This window comes from Homo sapiens, chromosome 9, assembly GCF_000001405.40.
Source record: "Homo sapiens chromosome 9, GRCh38.p14 Primary Assembly".
NCBI classification, from domain to species: domain Eukaryota; kingdom Metazoa; phylum Chordata; class Mammalia; order Primates; family Hominidae; genus Homo; species Homo sapiens.
In genome coordinates this window covers 99,707,817-99,730,158 of record NC_000009.12, presented here as the reverse complement: position 1 = coordinate 99,730,158, position 22,342 = coordinate 99,707,817, and the positions used below count along the sequence as shown (strand labels likewise).

The window sequence follows — 22,342 nt, the reverse complement described above, 5'->3', positions numbered from 1 at the left end:
GGGAAGAAATTGTAGGTTCTTTTAGGCCATGGCAAAGACTTTGGATTTTTTTTCCTTAGTGAGACAGAAGCCAATGGGGAATTTGGAACAAAGGAATGATGTGAACATTTTGACAGGATCACTCTGGGTGCTGTAAGGAAAATGTGTTAGGCTGAATTCCTTAGAGGTCGAACCTGATGGGGATGTGCATGATTTCTGGAGGGAACAGGGTAGAGGATGGGCAATAATGTGATTTCAGGTAATGAGTAGCTTCAGCCTGATTTGTTCTGGAACATAAGTTACTCTGTAGAGTTTTTCCCACATTGAGACAAGCAAGAGGGGCTTTTTACCCTTATCCTGCTTATTGGGTAAATACTCTGGGGAAGCAGATAGACAATGTAAATCCCAAGCACCTGCAGGTTGGGTGGGGGTGGGGGGGGGTGGGGTGGCTTCCATTGCCCAAGGGCAATTCTCTTTGAGGTATTCACAGCAGCTGGGAAAGGGGCTCATCAACCAAATTAATAAAAGGGAGTCCAGGAAACCTGAGGGTGCCAATAGCATCTCTACACAGAATAAGAGTGGAAGTAGAGATACCAATTAGGAGGCTACTGTAATAGTCCTCAAGAGAGATGAAGTTGGCTTGGACCAGAATGTAGCAGTGGAGGTGTTGAGAAGTGGTTGGATTCTGGATATATTTTGAAGGCAGAGCCCACAGGATTTTGCTAGTGGATTGCCTACAGAATGTAAGAGAAGAAGAATCAAGAACAACTCCATTGGCTTAGTTGTCTATTGAGATTAGGAAGACTGTGGGAGGAGCAGGTTTTGGAATGGGGTAAAATTAGAAGCTCTGGTTAAGACATTTTAAATTGAAAATGCCTCATAGATATCTAAATGAAGATATCAAGCAGACAATTGAATTTAAGTGTCTGAAGTTATGAAAATATGTTTTAGTTCCTAGGTTCAGATGACCAACCACCTATGGTACTAAAAGAATGTGCATATGGGTTTGAGTAAGAAAGACCTATTAGTTCCAATAAACTTAAAAAAGGACAAAAAGTGAATATTGGACACTAAAGGTCAGTAAGCTTGATGGCAACTTCAGGCACCATTTGGGTAATTTACTACAAGTTGTAATAATTTGGAGGTAACATAGATTTCCAAAGAACAAATCAGACCATACTAAACTTATTTCCATTTTTGAAAGGTATTCTAGGCACATAGGTTGGGTAAATCCTGCATCCTTAGTATGTCCTGATTTTCACGCAGTGTTTGTTAAGTTTCTTTGTCATATCCTTCTGATAAAATGAAGAGTTAAGGGCCAAACAAAACAGTTACATAGCTTTTTAGTTGGCCAAACAAGAAGAGCGAAAAGGGGTCAACCTTTACACTATTTTTTGCTACCAATCAAGTTATGTCACCAGGCCCTTTGTTAGTCATATATATATATGTGTGTGTGTATATATATATATTTTGTTGTTGTTGTTGTTGTTGTTGACAGCTTAAAGAGGAACAGCTAGAAAGCATATTATTACCTTGGAAGATGATGCAACCTGGAGAAAAATAGCCAATATATTGAAGTATAGAAGTTTAAAAGGAGAAGGAGGAGAAACCCAAACCAAATCTGAAATTTAATAGGGATGCATGCAAAAGAAAGCAAAACACCTCCATTTACAGACTGTGAAAGATCTCCCTTCAGCCAGGAACAGAGTCAATATATTTTTTTTTTTTTAAAAAAAAGAAGTTTATTTTTCATTAAGTCAGCTGTAGCATTAAATTCAGATTGTGGACTTTGGGACCATCTGCCTGGGTCGGAACCCTGGCTCTGCCATTTACAAGTTGTATGATCTTGGGTATGTTTCTTAAAATCTGTTTCACTTTTCTTACCTGGAAAATGAAGATGATAATATTAGTTCCAACTGATATTGTTGGAATTGTAAGAATTAAATGAGTTAAGACATGTGAAGTACTTAGAGCAATGCCTGGCACATAGTAAGTGTTAGGTAGGTCATTATTATAGCAGGTTTAGCAGTATGATGTGGTTGCTAAAAAGGTAAAGCAATCTTTGGGAATAATGGTAGAAGTGAGGGGTCAGGATCAAGGGAAGCTCATGGCTCACTGTATTTTTCATCGCCAAGATTTTGTGTTCAATTCTGGGTGTCTCTAATTTAAAAAGTGTCTATACCTTGTGGGAGATTGAGTGCTGAAAGTGGTAAAGGGTATAGACTCATGCCAAGTGAAGAAAATTCAAAGGACTGGGATGGAGAATATGACTTCTCTTGGAGACAGATTCAGAAGCTGAAATAAAGCTTTCTTGAAAAATCTGAAAGCTGTCACGTGGAAGAGGAATTAGACAAAGTTCCTGTTGCTCTGGAGACAGATCCAGGAGCAAAGGGAAGGAGTAAAAGATGGAATGGGGTTGTGAAAGTGTTGTAGCTTTCTGTTATGGGCAGAAGGTGACAGAAGCCTGTTCTAGCTCTGCCTCTATGTTACTGTATGATTCAAGTCTCTTAACTCTTCAGGCCTCAGTTTCATAATCTGAAATCAGGGTTTGGATTAGATGCACTCTAAAATGAAAATTACAGTTGGTCTATCAATGGACTGTCTTCATAGACAGTGAGTTTTCTGTCATTGGATATGTCTAGGTAAAGGGCACAAGACATATTAAGACATACTAAAACGTAAGTAAAGGGCCCAAGACATATTAAGAGTAGAAATTGAATTTGATTGTATTGAATTTGGCCTAAATGACACCAAAAATCTTTTTTAATTCTAAGATTTTAGGGAATTTTTTTGTATATTTTCGATGCTTTTTCCATCCCCCATCCTTACCCCCAGCCCTGCTCTGTTGATGATGATATACATTCTCAAATGATTACGTAAGAACTCCTGACATTCCCCATTGATTAGACTAAGGTGTGATTTCCACCCTATTCACCTTCTGTGGGGCATACAACTCACAGAGAATTGGATGACCTCCTGAGAGAACTCATGGTACTAATTCCCATGGTGCCTAACGTGGCACAAGAAACTCTAGTTCTAGCATGTTATCATTGCTCCTATTCTGTACTTCAAGTGGAAAAAGTGAAAAGTACCCAGAAGCTACTGACTCCATATTATATAGCTCCTAGGCTCATGGCTGCAAATTGAGTATGTGGTGCCTATGCAGGCCTGGAATCTGCAGACTGGGGGATGGGTGCAGCAGGAAAGAGAGGCATTAAATACAGCAACTGCAGACTGGATGGCAGCCATGAGCAGCAGAGCTGTGGTCATCTGTTGTCTGCAGCTGCCAGGATGTCATTCTTTACACAGAAAATATTTACTGACCACTTATCATGTGTAGGACACTGTGCTAGGCACTCTGAGAGACACCTAGGGGTGTGACACACCACCCCTTTCAGGCAAGGAGCTTCTAGTCTGATTGCAAGACAATTACGAACTAGCAGCAAACACTTTATATAGTTCTGGTATTAGTCAGGGTTCTCTGAAGAAACAGAACCAATAGGTCATAATTGGTTATGTTACATATATCATACACATATGAGGTTTATTATAAGGAATTTGTCTATGCAATTACGGAGGCCAAGACATCCCACAGTCTGTTGTGTGCAAACTGGAGACCCAGGTAAACCAGTGGTATAGTTCAAAGGCCTTACAGCGAGAGAGCTAAAGAGTTGTTGGTGTGGCTCCCAGTCTAAACCTGAAGGTCTGAGATCCAGGAATGCAAGGGCAGGAGAAGATACATGGTCCAGCTCCAGCAGTCAGGGAGAGAGCAAATTGAACTTTCCCCAGCTTTTTAATTCTATTCAGGCCGTTAATGGATTGGATGTTGCCCACTCGCATTGGGGAGGCCATCTGCTTTACTCAGTTCACCAATTAAAATGCTAATATCTTCTGGAAACAACCTCACAGACACACCCCAAAATAAAGTTTAACCAGGTATCTGGGCATTCCATGGCCCAGTCAAGTTGACACATAAGATTAGCCATCACAGTGCTTCATTATTTGCAAAATGCCTGCAAGCAAATTATTCTTCTCTCAATAGGCTGTGGATTAAACCCTTGGAGTATCCTCACAACAACCTGTGAGGTACTGTTACTCACACTTTTCAGACAGGAAATGATGGTTCTGACAAGCTAAGCAACTTACTGGAGATCAACCATTTGTGCTGTCTGAAGTGCCCTTGCTGCCACTGAAGTAGACCTAGGCATGACTTCTGACTCCAATTCCAGAGCTCTTTCTACTACTCTACACTAAAATGCACAAGGAAAGTTAAAAACCAGTATATAAAGACTATAGTATATATAAAGAGAATGGCACAGGTTTGATGTGTTATAGGAATTCAGTAATGCAGATCACTGTTGCTAGGAACAGAAGGAAGGACTATGGAGACAGGTTAAAGTTTGATGGATTGAGACCAAAGGAAGGCATTCCAGAAAAAGCAAAAGTTTTATCAAACATGGGAAACGAGAAAGAACAAATTTAAGATGTTTACAGGGCTGCTACGTTTGGCTGCATCATTTGTGCCTTGCATAACTCCAGGGGTGTAACTCACATAAGCACTGATACAAATGGCATCCCAGGGGCCGTTCACGGCATGGCATCATTTAGTGAACAGCCTGTACAGTGGTCTGGGGAAAGCCCTGAATGTGTACATCAATGAAACTGAGTTGGAGAGTTTTGTAGAGAAGAGATATAGAAACCTGGAAAGATGGGCTAGGAACTGATCAAGGAAAGATAGGAAGGTTAGGGTAAAGATTTTCAACTTCAGTCTGTAGGCAATGAATGATTCTTAATCAGAAAAGGGTCACAATAAAAACAATGTTTTGAGATGATTGATCTAGAGATGTGCAAATTAAATTAGAAAGGGGAGGGGTTGGGAACAGAAGACCAGATAGTACTTTGGTCTCCAAAGCATGAGCTTAGAAAGGGTCAGAGCAATGGTGGTGACAATGAGAAGACAAAAAAAGAGACAAATATAAAAATCTTCTTTCATTAATTCAAATGTTTAGTAAGTGCAAGGCATTGTGCTATATACTGATGATTTAATAGTGAGCCAAATAGGCATGATTCTTGCCATTTTAGAGTTCTTAGACCAGTAAGGGAGTCAGACATTCATCAGACAAATACATATGATGATGCTGTGAAGGAAAAGTACAAGAAGATATAAGAATGTATAACAGAATTGAATTTGATCTAGTTTGTGCAGATAGAGATCAGGGATGGCTTCTTTGGGGAAAAAAAACAACAACAGATGTTTGAATTGAGAATGGGAGGGTGAATAGGAGTAAACTATGCAAAGGGAGGTAAGGAAAGGGACAACAGCATTCCAGACAGTGGAAGCAGTGTGTGCAAAGGACCTGTGGCAGGGAGCATGGATTTAAAATGTGAAAGATGACCAGGAGATTTAGCATACAGCAAGAAAGGTAGAGAGTGGCTGACATGAGGCTGGAAAGAAAGGCAGGAGCCAGATAATACTGGGTTCTTTGTTTTCATTTCAGAAGCAACAAGCAGGTATTGGACATTTAAATCAGGAGCTAACATGTTCAATTTTGCATTTTGAAATGGATATTCTTGATGCTATTTGGAGAATAGAGGGGAGTTGACACTCAGGAAAGCTAGTACAAGCTTGTTACAGTAGTCCGAGAGAGATCTTGTCAGATTGGACAACAGAGATGGTGGTGAGGAGAGAACATTACGAAAGAAGACTTACCAGGACTTGATACTGATGGGATGCAGATAAAGAAAAGAGAAAAGTGAATCAGCAAGTAAAGTTATGGATTTGGGAGTCTTCCTACCCAGTGTTACTATTAACAGATATTATGGAAAATGGGAGGTGGTGCTGGTTTGATATGCAGGGTTGGGGGCATGTTGAGTTATCCAAGTGAAAATGCATCTAGTAAGCATTTGGATTGGGATTTATAAAAACAACAAAAGGATTGAAGTTGTAAAATTGAGAACTTCAATAAAGTTGTTGGTGGTTAAAATAATGTGACGGGAGGAATCTGTAAATAGAGGGGATAGTGAGGAAACATAATAGTGGACTCAGAGCTGAATCGTGTAGAACAACTAGGTAGTACAACTGGGTAGAACAACTGATGTAGTAGATGAACTTGCCAAGAAGTTGCCACAGAAGAAAAAGGGTATTAGTCCACCAAGAAAAATCAGAAAATTAGCCACTAAACATAGTTTAAAAAATTAAAACTTCATATATACTTCCCTTAATTAAATAACAGTATATCTATCAGGTTATATACTACCAGAAAGGAGATTACTATGTGGACTGCAGTGTACCATAAGTGTACCAAAGTCATCATATCATGGTTGCTCTAAGAATATAATATTTGTTTAAGGATGAATACAAATTAAGCTAATGGCCAGTACTAGCCAGAAGGCTAGAGGCTTCTTATCTCTGCATACACTAGTCACAACTGGAGAAATTATACTTAGCTTGTAGCTTTTACTAGTGAGCATCGTGGTCTAGAATCAGATTCTGTAAGACTAATCCATTTGTAAATAACAAGGACCTAGTGCATCATCAAGATGCTTTTTTTTCCTAAAAAATTAATAAGTAATTTGTTTCTAGGTCTGAGAAGTCACAGTGTGTTCCTGTGACCAAGTGCACCAAACTTCCATTCTTATTCCAAATGTCTCTAAAATCCAGTAATACTTGTCTCAGCATTGAATAAGCACATTAAAAAGGAAGTTATTGACTTCCTTGGCTGGAACTTTTTCTTCCCTTTGCAGGTATGCCCAAAGACTTCAGTTCTAAGATGGTAGTGGTATGCTCAGTTTGTGCCAGCTGCTGTCAGGGATTATGAGCCAAATTGGTTCTTTTTGGATGTAAAACCAACTTGAGGTGGGCACCAATGACTTAATGCACTTGCAAAACAAGGCATTTAAGTGAAAGTCTTTGTGTTCCTCTCTTTGCAAAGTCTTTTGTAAAAGCAAAACTCAGGTGGCTTCATCCAGCCAAGATTAAATTCAAAGTTGACTGCTGTAAAGACAAAACAAAAAAGTTCAAGCCAATGAATTGGGTAACTTGTTCAGTTTATGGTTAGTTGAAAACATAAGGCAAGACTTTTTCACTGCCCCTCCACATCTGTGCACAGAGGGGGTGCATGTGAAGAATCACTCTCTGATAGCTGCCTTTTGTGGTTTCACACTTGGAGAGCTAGCTCTGAACCACAGTCCCATAGTAGGGTGGGTCTATTCTTTTTGTAATATTCCCGATTTATCCCACTGTTTTCACAGTTTCTTCTGACATGCTACTTCCCCCTGCCTCAAGGATTTGAGGTGAACGTTTCAGATGGGTAGGATGACCACTCCTCCAACCTAAGCGTAGAAAGTTCGTTGAAATAAAAGGAGAATTAAGCTTCATGTATGTGAAAAGTCAGTGCAGATCCAGGACTTTAGGAAAAATTTACATTTTTAGAAATTATATCTAGGGAAGTACTAACTGAAGTCTAATCCTTTAGCAACAACATTTATTAACCTTTTAAAAAATTGAAGTATAATTTATATACAGTGAAATGCTCAAATCTTCAAGCTCAATCACTTTTGATAACTGCATATTAAGACACAAAATATTTTTATCAGCCCAGAATGATGTTCCCTCATGCTTCTTCCCACTCAATTTCCAAATTCACCCCCCAATCAACTGCTGATCTGCTTTCTATCACATAGGTTAGTTTAGTTTATTCTAGAATTTCTTATGACTGCAATCATACAGTATATGTTCTTATGTGTTTTGTTTCTTTCACCGGACATACTTTTGAGATTCATTCATGTTGTGTATATCAGTAGATCATTTCTTTCTATCGCTGAGTAATATTCTATTCTTTGAATATGCCACAGTTTTAAAAAAACACTTTTGCCTGTTGACGTACATCTGGGTTTTTTCTAGTTTTTGGCTATTATGAATAAAGCTGCTATGAACATTTTTATATAGGGCTTTATGTAAGCATAGGTTTTCGTTTCTCTTGGGAAAATATCTAGGAGTAGAATTGCCCGGCCACAGGGTAGACATATGTTTAACTCTTTAAGAAACTACTAAACAGTTTTCCAAAGTTATTGCATCATTTTATACTCCCAGCAGCAATATATGAAAATTTGGATTGCTCCACATTCTTTCCAACATTTGATGTTGTTAATCTTTTCTTAAAAAATTTCAGTCATGTATGTGTGTATGTGTGTATATGTGTGTGTTTTACTTTGCATGAAACTTATAAATAATAAAGTTGAGTATCTTTATATGTGCTTGTTGGCCATTTGTATATCTTCTTTTGTGGCTGTCCAAGTCTTCTTTAAAAAATGATTTGTCTTTTTATTATTGATTTATAGAATTTCTTTGTATGTTCTATATGCAATGTATTTGTCAGAGAGATATATATTATATATATACATAATATTCACTATATATAGATATATTTTATATTTTATATATAAATTTTATATTTATATAATACATAAATATATTATCTATAATATATAAAATATATAAGTATATTATATATAATTTATATATAAAGTATAAATTATAAATATATAATATATATAATTTATATATAAAGTATAAATATATAATATATATAATTTATATATAAAGTATAAATTATAAAAATATATAATGTATATATATTTTATATTTTTATATCTAAAATATTCACTATATATAGCTCTATCTACATATCTATCTATCTACTGAATTTTTTTTCTCAGTGCGTGGCTTGTGATTTATTTTCTTGACGGTGTCTTGATGAGCAAATGTTTTACAGTTTTAGGTAGTACAGTCTATTAGTGTTTTTATTTTATGGTTTATGCTTTGTATGTTCTTGAAAAATGTTTGCCCATTGCAAGGTTGCAAACATTTTCTTCCACTTTTTTTTCCTTTGTAACTGTATTATTTTATATTTACATTTAACTCTATAACCCTTCTCATATGGGTTTTTTTGGATGTGGTGTGAGGTAGGGGTCAAGGTTCTTTCTCTCTCCCTTTTTGTTTTGGATATCCAGTTATTCCAACCCAGTCGTTGAAGAGATTTTTCTTTTGTCATTGAATTGCTTTATATATGGTTGTATTTCTGTACTCTATTTTGTTTCTAGTCCTGTTTTGTTTTCTGTTAGTAATGATTTTGAAATAGGAATAGATTGGGATTCTTAGATATATAGAAGTTAATGAATTAGTATAGTCTCACAATAAGCATTTTTTTTTAACCACTTGAAGACTTTTTCTTGTGTTCAATGAACACAAGATCACTTATTTGATCCTTATGTGAGTACTTGAGGGGAAGTGGTTACAAGGAGCCAGAGTGCTAGCGTGTTTTGGCTTTTACTTTCTGTTTTAAGCAACATCTTCCAAGAATAAGCTGAAATCAGGCAAGAATTAGCTGGTTTGAGAGCAAAAACAGAGGGAATAGAGAGAGTCTAGAAATGCAGGGGCTGACAGGGTTGGAAAACCCAGCTATTCCTGAACTGAAATAAGCTGCTGCCTTTCTATACAAACCTATTATTTCAAATGGTTGCAGTGTAGCTGCCATGAGTTGAGAGAGGTAAAAGCTAGGTCACATTTGACCTTTTGCAATTAGTTAAATTTTTTTGCTGAATTCTTACCCACTTATATTCCACCCAGTGTCTCTTTCTCTGGTGCTTTGGCTCAGGTGAACCAGAGGTCATGTCCTGGCTCTCCTTGGAGGGCCCATCTTTCCTTAGAATTCAGGTTACTTGTCCTATGATTGCAACTCTCTAATAGTTCAAGAAAAGCTCTGATTTGTAGTCTATCCGGCTTTATTGTTGTGAACGTTGGACAGATATATTTTTAGCTTTTTACATCCCATGTGGAAATAGAACTCCCAAGAGAGTGATTTAGAAAGATATTATTCATCTTGTAAGATAACTTCCTGTAGTATTCCTTTGAATCGCAATATCCATTACCATTCCCTTCAATCTGTTTCTTTATGGGATCTTACTCACCTGCCTCCAAACTGCTAGACTACATCTCCTGGAATGTGCAATTTGGCATGTATTTCTATTCTAAGTAACATGCACAGATCCTGGAAAAACTAAAAGACCCTGTTTGTTGATTAATTGATGAATGGAATGTATTTACCAATCTTCTCACCTGACAAATCCTTATCTGTCTTTCAAGACCAAAAGCAAATGTCACTTCTTCTGAGAAAGCTCTATGAGTTCCTTTAGGAAGAGTTAGTTATTTTTTCTCTATGCCTTCATAATACTTTGTACATTCCTCCACTAGATGATTTTTATATCTTTTAGTTTAGATTGTGAATAAGATTGGAGCATGACCAATTCTTCTTATTTTGTATCTTTAGGTGCCTAGAACAACGTGTGGTACTTATAATTATGACTCAGTTTGTCAAATGGATGCATAAAAATTGATTTTCTAAATGAGCTGCTGAATATCTTTGTTGAATGATTATACACATTGGGTTTTGCATTTATGTAACTTTTATGTACATGAAGAAATGTACTTGTAAATGTATGTGTATATGTGTGTGAGTGTGTTTCATCTCCTAATGATGCAGGTAATTGCAGAATTTGCTTAGGACAAAGATATGGCACCTCTGCCATCATTTTCTCCTTGTATGCCATACCGTGAGATAAACCACCTCTGTTCTTTTTCCTGTTGATCCCAGGCATGAATTTAGAATCTGATCTTTCAATAATAATTCCACCAATAAACCAGATATTTCCCCTTCCTTAATCTAAGAGGCTCCTATCACAATAAGCGGGGGGGTCACCTTTGATTGATGCCCTTGCTGAATGGTACCTAGAGGGAAGATTCTAATAAGCTGCAGACACTTTGCAATTCCTGTCTTTCAGAACTTAATCGCATTTGCATTTTGGCTATGATCAGATGGTGGAAACACAAACTCCAAACTGTCAATCAACTTAGGCTTCTTTTCCAACTTTTCATAAATAAATTTCTTTAAAAATCTTTGAACATTCTTTTAAACACCGAAATTATGCAAGTAGTTTTTAAACAATTACTGTATTTTCTACCTATATATTACATTATAGTTGGTAACCTGTTCATTACTGAAAATCTAGCTTGGGAGGTATGCATCTAAATGTGTGTGTGTCTGTGTGTGTGTGTGTGTGTGCATATGTGTGTGAACTGAGGTATTCATGAGATTTGAGGGAGAAAAGAGGGAAAATATTTACTGAAAATATATTTTTTATATTGTCCAGTTTTTACCTTTAAATATCAGTAGAAAAAATGGAAGCATATAGATTTCTGGCATGTAATTTATCTTCAAAACAGAAATTAAACCTAACCAGTTATAAATTTGAGTTTCTTTCTGAATTAACCATGTTGGCACTACCCCAGCTACCTCCTTATGTTCACATGGTTGCTTCCAGACTCTATGTAGAATTTTATGCCTCTGTAGTATCAAATTTGTTAAATGGCATATTTTTATATCAGTAATTTTTATAGCATATTGTTATTCCAGACTTTTACATGCCTCTAATTTATTCTTAACTTCAATATAGCAGTATTGATTTTTTTCCTTCCAAGTTTGATGGTATGAACACTTCAGTTGTGATTTAAAGTCATTTCAACACCATCAATAATTTGCACTTCGTTTTCTATTCTTTTGCAAACTTAAATATTTGGGCAGGTACAACTGGAAGTAATAATACTCCTCACTACTTTTTGTATCACTTTTAAAAACATTTAGATTATTTCTTAATGTGGTTGAGATTATGTGTCTCTAATGACTTTGAATTATCCATGACACTTAAATGCAGAATAGTAAGAACAGTTTTGGTTGCAAATCAAATAGAACCTGATACAGCTTCCTTAAGTTATATTTTCTCTCTTTGTCCATTAGTAACAAAGAATAAATTGATCATAACTTTTCTCTTTTGTAGAACTACTATCAATGCCTTTTACAAAATGAGGTCATTGGATTGCAGAGTTGGCTTTCGAGAAGATTTTGTGGCCTTTCTCAGCTGTCTAGGTGCTGTAGGTGCTGTGTTTCTATGGCTGCAAGGATGAAGGTAACATGGATGAGGGAGGCTGATGAGGCATGTTTTGGTTGTTATATAAAGCAAGGCTCACAAATGCAGCAATAAGGACATTGATTTTTTTCCCTTGGCTACTTTGCAGTGGAGATAAATTGCCACCAGGTGAATGGTGGTACCTTGATTATTTGGCCCATAGTCTAAATAGCTTTAATGGGAGACCTGTTTAGAGCATCAATTTTCTGTTTTAAATATATCATTTCATTATTGGCACAGAATTATGACCACATTAATGGAGATAGAAATAAAGAAGAAAAACTAAAAATCATGTCTTTATTTTCCCTTGCTTCATGCCCATTTATAACTATAATTTTTGTGTTGTTGTAATCATATTTTTTGATACATAATTTTCTTTTCTAATTTTTAAATAATATATCAAAAGCATGTTTCCATGCCACTACCGTGTATTATTTATAATGATCATTTTAACAGAATATCATGTATTTTTATGTGTCAGCAGATGTTCTTTTTAAAAAACTGTGTATTAAATGTTGAATATATGTACAAAAATTTATAAAAGTTATACGAAATCATCATAAATTAACACCCATATGCCTATCATTCAATTTAAGATAAAGAACATTGCTATTATCTTTGGAGGCCTCTGTGTTCTTATTTCCCACCTCATCCTCTTCATTACCCCTACAGAGGCCATGTGATCACCCTCCTAAATCTTGTGTTTATTGTATCTTAGTTCTCTTTATAATTTTACCATATTTGGTTATATTCCTAAAGAGCATACAGTTTAGTGGATATTTTAATCAATATTTAAATGGACTAAAAAATGTGAACACATTTATCTGTAATTTGTTTTTTCACCCAGTATTAAATCCCTATGTTTTTTCTATGTCATTGTGTTATATTGTATTCATCTACATTGTTGTCAAGTATTTCATTATATGAATGCACCACAACTTATTGTCCATGATAAACATTTGGGCAAATTCCAGTTTTTCCTACTGTAAATGGTAATGTAAAGAATATTTTAATAACACAATTTCTATTACAAATGTCTAAGAGTTTCTTTATAATGCATGAGTAATTCTGTCGGGTCATTGGTGTGTATCTCTTCAAATATATGGGTAATGCCAAATTGTTTTCCAAAATGGTTGTACCAAATTATGCTTCTACTAGCAACGTGTAAGAATGCTGGTTGCATCATATCCTTGCCAATGCTCAGTTGATATTATCAGATACAATTTTTGCTAATCTGGTGAGTTTGAGAATCTTTCTTATTTGGTTTTAATATAAATTTTTCCAACTAGTAATGAGACAGAACATCTTTTCATATGGGGTCTCTTCTATGGCGTGCTTGTTCAAATCTTTTGCTCATAGTTCTCTTGGGTTTTCTTTTCTTATTGGTTTGTACGAGTTTTTTTTAATATATTCTGGATATCAATTTTCTGAGTTACATGGGTTCAAATATCTTCTCCCATTCTGTTTTCCACTACCTTTATAGTGCCTAATAGTAAATAGATAATTTTAATTTTGATACAGTCAAATTTATCAAACTTTTCTTTGAATAATTGTGCCCTTTGAGTCTTGTAAAGAAAAATTTCTCTCCTCAAGGTGTTAAGGATGTTCTTCTACACTGTCTTCTTTAATGTTATAGTACTCTCTTCCATAGTTATGCTTTTAATCCACATAGAATTGATTTTGTGTACAGTGTGATGTAAAAGTACATTTTCTTTCTGTATCTCTCTCTTTTTTTAAGACAGGGTCTCATTCTGTCACGATCTATAGCTTACTGCAGCCTTGAACTCCCGGGCTGAAGCCATCCTCTCACCTCAGCCTTCTAAGTGTGGGACTATAGGCATGTGGCACCATGCCCAGCTAATTTTTCTTTTTTTTTGAGAGATGGGATCTTGCTCTGTTGCCCAGGTTGGTCTCGAACTCCTGGGCTCAAGGAATCCTCCTGCCTCAGCCTCCCAAAGTGCTGGGATTATAGGCGTGAGACACCATGCCTAGCCTCTGTTTTTTTTTTCTTTTAAATAAGTATATTAGTTCATTTTGCACTGCTGTAACAAAATACCACAGATTGGGTATTTTATAATAAATAGAAAATTATTGGCTGACAGTTCTGGAGGATGGGAAGTCAAAGATCTGGCAAAGACTTTCCTGCTGTGTCATCCCATGGTCAAAAGGCAAAGAGAGGGTGAGGGCGAAAGAGAGAGAGAGAGAGAGAGAGAGACAGGCAAAAGGGGGCCAAACTTGCCCTTTTATAAGGAACCCACTCCCATAATAATGCCATTAATCCATTCATGAGGGCAGAGCACTCATGGCCCAATCACCTCTTAAAGGTTCCATCTCTTAATACTGTTACAATGGCAATTAAATTGTAACATGAGTCTGGGAGGGGACAAATATTCAAACTCTAACAATAAGGATAACCAATTATCCAAGAACCATTTGTTAAATATTTATTCTTTCCCCACTGATTTGCAATGCTAGCTGTGTCATAAACCAAGTTTCCATATATGTGTGGGTTGATTTCTGGGTTCTTAACTTTAAAAAAATCTGCTGAGTTGGCCAGGCACAGTGGCTCATGCCTGTAATTCCAGCACTTTGGGAGGCTGAGGTGGGCGGATTACCTGAGGTCAGGGGTTCAAGACCAGCCTGGCCAACATGGTGAAACCCCGTCTCTACTAAAAAATACAAAAAATTAGCCAGGTGCAGTGGCACAAGCCTGTAATCCCAGCTGCTTGGGAGGCTGAGGCAGGAGAATCGCTTGAACCCGGGAGGCAGAGGTTTGCAGGTGAGCTGAGATCGTTCGACTGCACTCCAGCCTGGGTGACAGAGTGAGACTTCATCTTGAAAAACAAACAACAACAACAACTGCTGAGTCCATCGGGCATGGTGGCTCATGCCTGTAATCCCAGCCCTTCAGGAGGCTGAGACAGGCAGATCACTTGAGGCCAGGAGTTCGAAACTGGCTGGCCAACATAGTGAAACCCCGTCTCTACTAAATATACAAAAATTAGCGGGGCATGGTAGCACACTCCTGTAGTCCCAGCTACTTGGGAGGCTGAAGCAGGAGAACCTGGGAGGTGGAGGTTGCAGTGAGCTGAGATCATGCCACTGCACTCCAGCCTGGGCTACAGAGTGGGACTCTGTCTCAAAAACAAACATAAACTTATCAAGTAATGTAAATTGTGGGTATAAACCCACATAAAGGCTGGCTGTCACTACCAGTTCTTTGAAGGTGGAGTCAGTTTCTTTCTGGTTAATTCTTATTGCAGGGGCATAGCCCTTTGAGATTTCAACTTTGTGGGAGGAGTTGCCCATTGATTTCTCACATTGAGGCAATCCCCAGAAAATTTTGAAAACTTAAACTCAAATTGAGCTGATTTGGCAAGTATTCTAATGGAGACAGCCAGCTGCAGTGGTGTCTTTTCTAAAGTTTGGCTTCGGTATCTTTTATATTCTTGCCATATCATTAATTTAAAATATATAACCATTTTTACCTTTCAGTTTTAGTATTTTAGTTTTAGTTGTTTTTTATCTTGACAGAGATGGTCAATTTTGGCACTTAGCCCGTCATACTAATGGAGTTAAAGGTTTTAGTGAACTATTTTTCAACCTGATTTTAAATGACTGCATAATATAATAAAATACCACATGAATAAACTGACATTTATTTTTACAATTAATATTTTAACATTTTAAGGGAGTCCACTCATCAAGTTGATGTAACACAAGTTACTTGACCATGTTTTCATTGTGCATTTATGTTGTTTTCAGTGTTTCTCTATTATGAAAATACTATCATGAAATTTTAAAAAGGCTTTATATATCTAAGGGACTTGTATACCATGATGAGACATTTCCGTTTTATCTTGTAAGCTATAGTGACACATCTGATTGTTTTGAGCTGGGAAGTGACGTGGTCAGATTTACATTTTAGAAAATGTAAGCCATGAATTGCAGGTGGTTAAGGTTAAAGACAAAGAGACTCATAACAAAACCTTTTTAATAGTCAAGGTAAGATTTGATGGGGGTATGAACAAGGCCAGAGGCAGAGGAGATTAAGAAGAGGGCCTATACAAAACCAAAACCAAACAAAAAGGCCCCCGAACACCACCCCTCCCAACTAGAATACATCTAACCAAGAAGGTTAAAAATGGGCAAAAGACATAAACAGACAGTTTTCAAAAGAAGACATGCAAGTAGCCAAGAAACATGAAAAAATGCTCAACATCACTAATCATCAGAGAAATGCAAATCAAAACCACAGTGCAATACCGTCTCACACCAGTTAGAGTGGCTATTATTAAAAAGTCAAAAAATAAGAACAGATGCTGGTGAGGTTGCAGAGAAAAGGGAACGCTTATATATTGTTGGAGAGAAAGTAAATTAGTTCAACTACTGTGGAAATCAGTTTGGAGATGTCTCAAAACTGATTTTGAGAAATCTGATTTCTCAAAACTGATAACACAAAACTACCATTTGACTAAGAAATCCCATTACTGGGTATATATCCAAAACAAAATAAATCGTTCTACCAAAAAGGCACACGCATTCATATGTTCGTCATAGCACTATTCACAATAGCAAAGACATGGAATCAACCTAAGTGCCCATCAATCATGGATTAGATAAAGAAAATATAGTACATATACACCATGGAATACTATGCAGGCATAAAAAGAATGAAATAATGTTCATTGTAGCAACATGGATGCAGGTAGAGGCCATTATCCTAAACAAATTAACACAGAAACAGAAAACCAAATACTGCAAAATCTCACTTATAAGTTAGAGCTAAACAATGGGTACCCATGGACATAAAGTTGGCAAAAGTAGACATGATAGACACTGGGGACTACTAGAGCGGGGAGTATGGGAGGTAGGGGCGAGTATTGAATAACTATTGGGCACTATGCTCAGTACCTGGGTGACAGGATCAAGCATATCCCAAACCTTAGCATCATGCAATCTACCCAGGGTAACGAACTGCACATATGCACCCTGAATCTAAAATAAAAGTTGAAATTATTTAAATAATAATAATTTCACATAAAAAAGAAGGCCTAGATTGGAAGACACTTGGGTTTTAGAATTTATAGGATTTACAGAGTAATTGGATGAAAGGAGGTGGGAAGAAATAATAGGAGGACTCCAGTGTTCCTGGTTTTAGCAATTTAGTGGATGGTAATGTCCTTCAACAAAATGAAAAATGTAGAGAAGGAGCAGATTATGAGTACAAGTTTACATATATTGAGTTCTCAGTATCTTTTGAGCTATTCACTGGATATATACCTTTGGATATTTGTATGTGAGGTGGTCTGGGCTGGAGATAACATTTGGGAGTCATGAGGGAACATGTTGTAGCTTGGATAAGTCTGCCTGGGGAAACTGTGAAACAAAAAAAAGGCTCAGGCAAAGCCATGGAAAATACCAGTGTTTAAGAGATCAGAGGCAGAGCTAATACAAATAAAAATATGAAACCCATTGTTCAAAATGCAGGGGAAGAAAGCACTGTTAAAGGTGTATTGCAAAGTATTTTCCTTTCTTCCATGAACTCTCTCTTGCCATCATGGTGGTTTTGCTTCCTACTTAATATCATTCCAAATAAGGAAAAACTAAAACTTTAAATTATTAGCTGAATTTTATCATTCATCTCTATATTGTGCAATGCCAATTTTTAACAACTTTATTGACATAAATTTACATACAATAAATTCATCCATTTAAAATGCTTCATTCAGTGGTTTTTAGTATGTTCACAGAGTTGTGCAACCATCACCACAATTTAATTTTAGAACATTTTCATCATCTCAGAACAAAACACCACTGCACCCATTGGCAATCTCAATTATCCTCTTCCCCAGTCCTAGGCAACCATTAATCTACTTTCTGTCTCTGTAGTTTTGTCTATTCTGGACATGTAATGTAAATTGAATCATACAATATGTGGTCTTTGTGACTGGCTTCCTTTAGCAATGCCAAGTTTTAATGCAAATATCAGAATATTTATATTTCATGGCTCATCTCTGGAGGGTGCCTTGAGCTATACAGAAGAGACAAATTCAAGCCAGACTCAGGAAGTTTGGAGGAAAACAGAAAGATCTCCTCCTATTCCCCCAACAATGGGGCTGACCAAAAGAATGCTTGTGGGACAAGCGCAGACCCTCACAAGTGCCTGGGAGCCCTGCATGTTTGCTTCGGCTGAAGGCTGCTACTTCTTCCCTTCTGCCATGCCCATGCCCTGGCCAACAGTGAAGTTTGAGGAAGTCAAGCTGGGCATCTCCTCTGTCCATGATCTGCTGCCCTAACTTATGGCATATGGATGATCCCTAAGGATCTTTAAACCTCTGTGTCACAACATGCTCAGTACCTGCATGGGGGTGGCTAAGAGGTTTATGTGCCAACATGCAACCCCACCACATTACCAGCCACATGCGCTAGAATGCTGCCAGTGTTACGCAGGAATGAAATGTGCACTCAACTCCTTGGACACTACGCAGGCCCTTCCCAGGGGCAGAGGGTGGCAGCACTCATGAGGTGGAGGGTGAGAGGGGAAGACCAGGCAGGACCAGGGAGGCAAAGGGGGAATACACGTAGGTACTGATAACTCACCTCTGGGAAATGGTAAGAGACAGGATGAACATGAGCTGAGGCTCCAAGCCCAGCACATGTTTTCATTGTCCCATTGGACTTCACTTATAAAACAGAAATTCAAAGATAAAATTAAGAATTTCAAGATAATGACTGCAAAACATTAAATCCCAAGCAAGTGCCCTTCTGAGCACTGGGTCTTGTGCCACTGCACTGGTTTCACTTCTATGAAGCTGGTCCTGGTCAGAGAAATGGAAAACTCAGCAGCAGCAGAAAGAAAAGTATGCTGGGAGCTATGAGAAAGTGATGTCAAAGAAGCCAGCAGAGGAAACTGAAAAAGATGAGTGGTCAACATCGCTATTGCAAGAGAAACGTGTAGATAAGAAAAGGACGGAAAATTCTCATATGATAGCACTGGTGACTGCTGAGAGCAATTTCAGTGGAATAGAAGGTGTGGAAGCCAGATTATGGGGGTTGCAGAAAGAATGAGAAGTATAGAAGAGGAGACAATGAGCGTTGACTTGTTCAAGGAACTTGGGTGTAAAGGGAAGGGATGAGAGTAGAACTCTGAGCAGCAAGGGTCTGGTGCAGAATTTGATAAATGACAGCACATATGCTGGTCCATGACCTATTTTTTTGTGACTAAAGTTTTATTGGAACACAGTGAATATCTACTCATTTATGTATTGTGTCTATCGGTTTTCACACGACAATGGTAGAGTTGAGTAGTTGCAACTGAGAACATATGGCCTGCAAAGTCTGAACTATTTCCTGTCTGGCCCTCGACAGAAGGTTTTTGACCTCTAATATAGAGTGATGGTTCTTAGAGTGTGGCTCCTGGACCAGCAGCATCAGCATCACCTGGGAACTTAGAAACACAAATTCTTGAGCCACATCCAAGACCTAGTGAATCAGCAACTTTGGAATGGTAACTCCTAATCTATGTTTTATTAAGCTCTCCAGGCAATTCTGATACACCTTAAAGTTTGAGAACCACTGGGATAGAGTGCAGATGGAAAGAGGAACTTTTGATGGAGGGGAGACACTCTTCCTCTGAGCCAGAGGGAAGGAAGAAAGGATGTGTGGGGAAACATTAAAAGGACACTCACAGGATTCCATTCACTCCTTATACTGTCACACTCAGATTAGCAACATTACCTGGTCCAATATTAGATGTAAGCAACCAGGACAGATTTCCAAGTGATGTGTGCCACACCACCTGGGTCTAAAGTTAAACAGGGAGGAAGATTTCAAGTTAGTATATGGTATGGAAGGAAGTTCTATTCAACAATTGTAAGGTGGTGTACTCCCAGGAGAACTGCATGTTCATCCATTCGTGCATTACGTAGGCACTTTCGGTGTTAGGTCTTCTCTAATCTAAAATTCTATGATTCCTGCCTAGAATGAACACTTCTTTCTAATCTGATTATTCTATCTAGAGTCGAAGTTTCTTCTTGGGATACATTCTGGTCTGTGGAGCTCTTTCCTTATTTCTAGGGGTCGGATCTCAGCTGCTTTGGGTTTAATTAAACCAGCTAGTCAGAGAATCCACTGACCTGCCAAGACACCCATCAAAGGGCAGGGACAAATCTGTCTCTTCTCTCTGTTCTATTCTAAGAATTCTTGTCAGTATTTAGTGAATGATTCTTGTGTTCTGAAAAGCTGTGAAAGTGTGAAAGCCAGGGTTCTAGGTCAGCAGTATATTTTCTACGCTCTTCAATGATTGTTGCTTACATTTTGTGAATTCGTAATTCAAGTTCAATTGTATCCTTAGCAAACCAGTTCACATCCTCCCAATCTCATACATTTGCTTTATGCTATACAGTTAGAATTGCTTTTCTTTATGAAAAAACAAACATATATTTTCAGGTATGAGGTACCTGATTTCCGGACTTGTTTTCCCTTTGCTGTGTTCCTTATGAAAAATTACCAGAGAAAGAGACAGGGGGCATTCAGAGATGAAATGAAGCTGATATACCTGGTCTATCACATTGGGACCTATGGGCTCTGAGGGGCTCATGTGAGCTCACACCTAGGGTTGGGGAAGGACTGGTGGTAAAAGAGGTAGTGGTCTAGGTCTAATTTAAAAATCATTAAAAACATTTTGTTAGGAAACCAAATAATAAGAGAAATGTGCATTCTTTGAAATAAAATTTTTGATGGTCTCTGTGTGTATTTTATAATAGTTATAATTTCTCTTTGATTGTCTTTTTATGACTGTGCTTTTTTTTTACCTATTAGTTTCTCAAACAACAAAGATATAAACTGTTTCTCTTTCATATTTGCTGTACATACTTTTTCTAGTTGGTTGTTTGCTTTTTAATTTTGGCTATGATTTTATTTGTGGCATCTAAAAATATGAAGTAGTCAAATGTGTTTGTGTTTTTTAAATGAGAATATGGAGAAATGTCATGTTTACCTGCAGGCCAAAGAAATTTCATGTATGGGAGAATTTTTAATGCTTCAGGAGTGCTGCAATGAGTGTACATCATTTTGGCATGGACGGATTTGCTATTTCTGGCTGGGGAGACTGGAGTAGAGAGATGAGAGAGGATCACTATTAGCTGCTATTACTTGGATGATAGTGCCTTAGGTGCCTAGCTATTGGAGGGCTTTGTCAAATTCTTCTTAAATAAGCTAGCATGGCTGTCTGTCCAAGCTTTGTTCCTGTGTGCATACTAGCAAGAAGGTGGAATGACTGCTACTCACATCTGTCCATCAGACCTGCTGGGGCCTTGGCACAGTCTGTGCCCATATATGAGGAAGAATCTAGGCAGGTGAGATGTCCTTTCCTACTTGAATGACCAATGATGGGCAACTAGACTGATGTTCTGTCTATGAAACAGCAGCCTTAAGCTTCTTGACCACTCACCCATAGTTGCTGGATGATTTCTTCTTTCAATTTATTCATTAACTTTTCTGTAGAGATGGGGCTCTCTCTTTGTCACCCAGCCTGGAGTGCAGGGGTGCGATCATGGCCCACTGCAGCCTCGAACTCCTGAGCTCAAGCAATCCTCCTGTCTCAGCCTCCTGAGAAGCTGGGACTACAGGCATGAGCCACCATGCCCAGCTGATGTTAGGTAATTTCTGAAATGTTTCCTAAAGTGCGAACAGACCTGGTCTAGTTTTGTGCCCCTACTTCTTTTATGGTCAACAATCTACTCTTGAGACTTTCATTGGCTTTGAAACTCTGAGACTGTGAAACTTGTCTGCTGAACATGGCTATGATAGGCTATAGGGTATTGGACAGATTTAAAGATTAGACTCTGTTCTTACAAATGTAGCTTTGAACATGGCTGAAATACCACTGGGCTAAGTGAACTCATCAAGGTACAGCTACTACCTGGGGAGTCGTATTGAATTCCAGCCTGAAGGAGTATACTTCTACTTAAAACCAGGGCCCAAGGCCTCTGAAAAAACACTGACAAAAATTTGTGGCTAAGGTTCATTTGTCCTGCAATATCTCCGGGAGTTCTGTGGTACTATTTGTAATAAGAAGTATGATGAGTACAATTCTGCTGTGGCTAACATCCCTTGAATGTGGTAAACATTCAAGACTAGAATTCACTTCGATTCATCCTTCATTTTCTGGACTTAGCTGGGAAGATCTGGGGTATAAATAAGCCCAGACCCTAGTCCCCTGCTGTGAGTTGGAGTAGGGTGGATACAATTCCATGTCTATCCAGATATCTACAGAGAGATGGATGAGAGACTGTCTTCAGATGATATCCAGACTATCTTGAAATCTGACTCAGGCTGT

General features: G+C 37.8%; 2 long non-coding RNA genes across 2 annotated transcripts in view, besides 1 other annotated feature; one reads left to right on the top strand and one right to left on the bottom strand.

Moving 5' to 3' along the window:
• Positions 1-22,342, top strand: part of LOC101928438 (uncharacterized) — a 234,104-nt gene that overhangs the window by 89,731 nt on the left and 122,031 nt on the right. Inside the window, exon 3 of the long non-coding RNA NR_109802.1 lies at positions 11,872-12,000. This is a non-coding gene — a long non-coding RNA (uncharacterized LOC101928438). The remainder of the gene's footprint in view (positions 1-11,871; positions 12,001-22,342) is intronic.
• LOC124902234 (uncharacterized) overlaps positions 1-22,342 on the bottom strand; it is an 85,285-nt gene that overhangs the window by 20,722 nt on the left and 42,221 nt on the right. The gene's annotated exons all lie outside the window — the stretch shown is intronic.
• Positions 7,101-7,170: an enhancer, noted in NCBI's record as "active region_28714". NCBI's record gives its function as "activates an Ori minimal core promoter by ATAC-STARR-seq in GM12878 lymphoblastoid cells {active_cell/tissue: GM12878}" and the evidence as "EXISTENCE:reporter gene assay evidence [ECO:0000049][PMID:35858748]".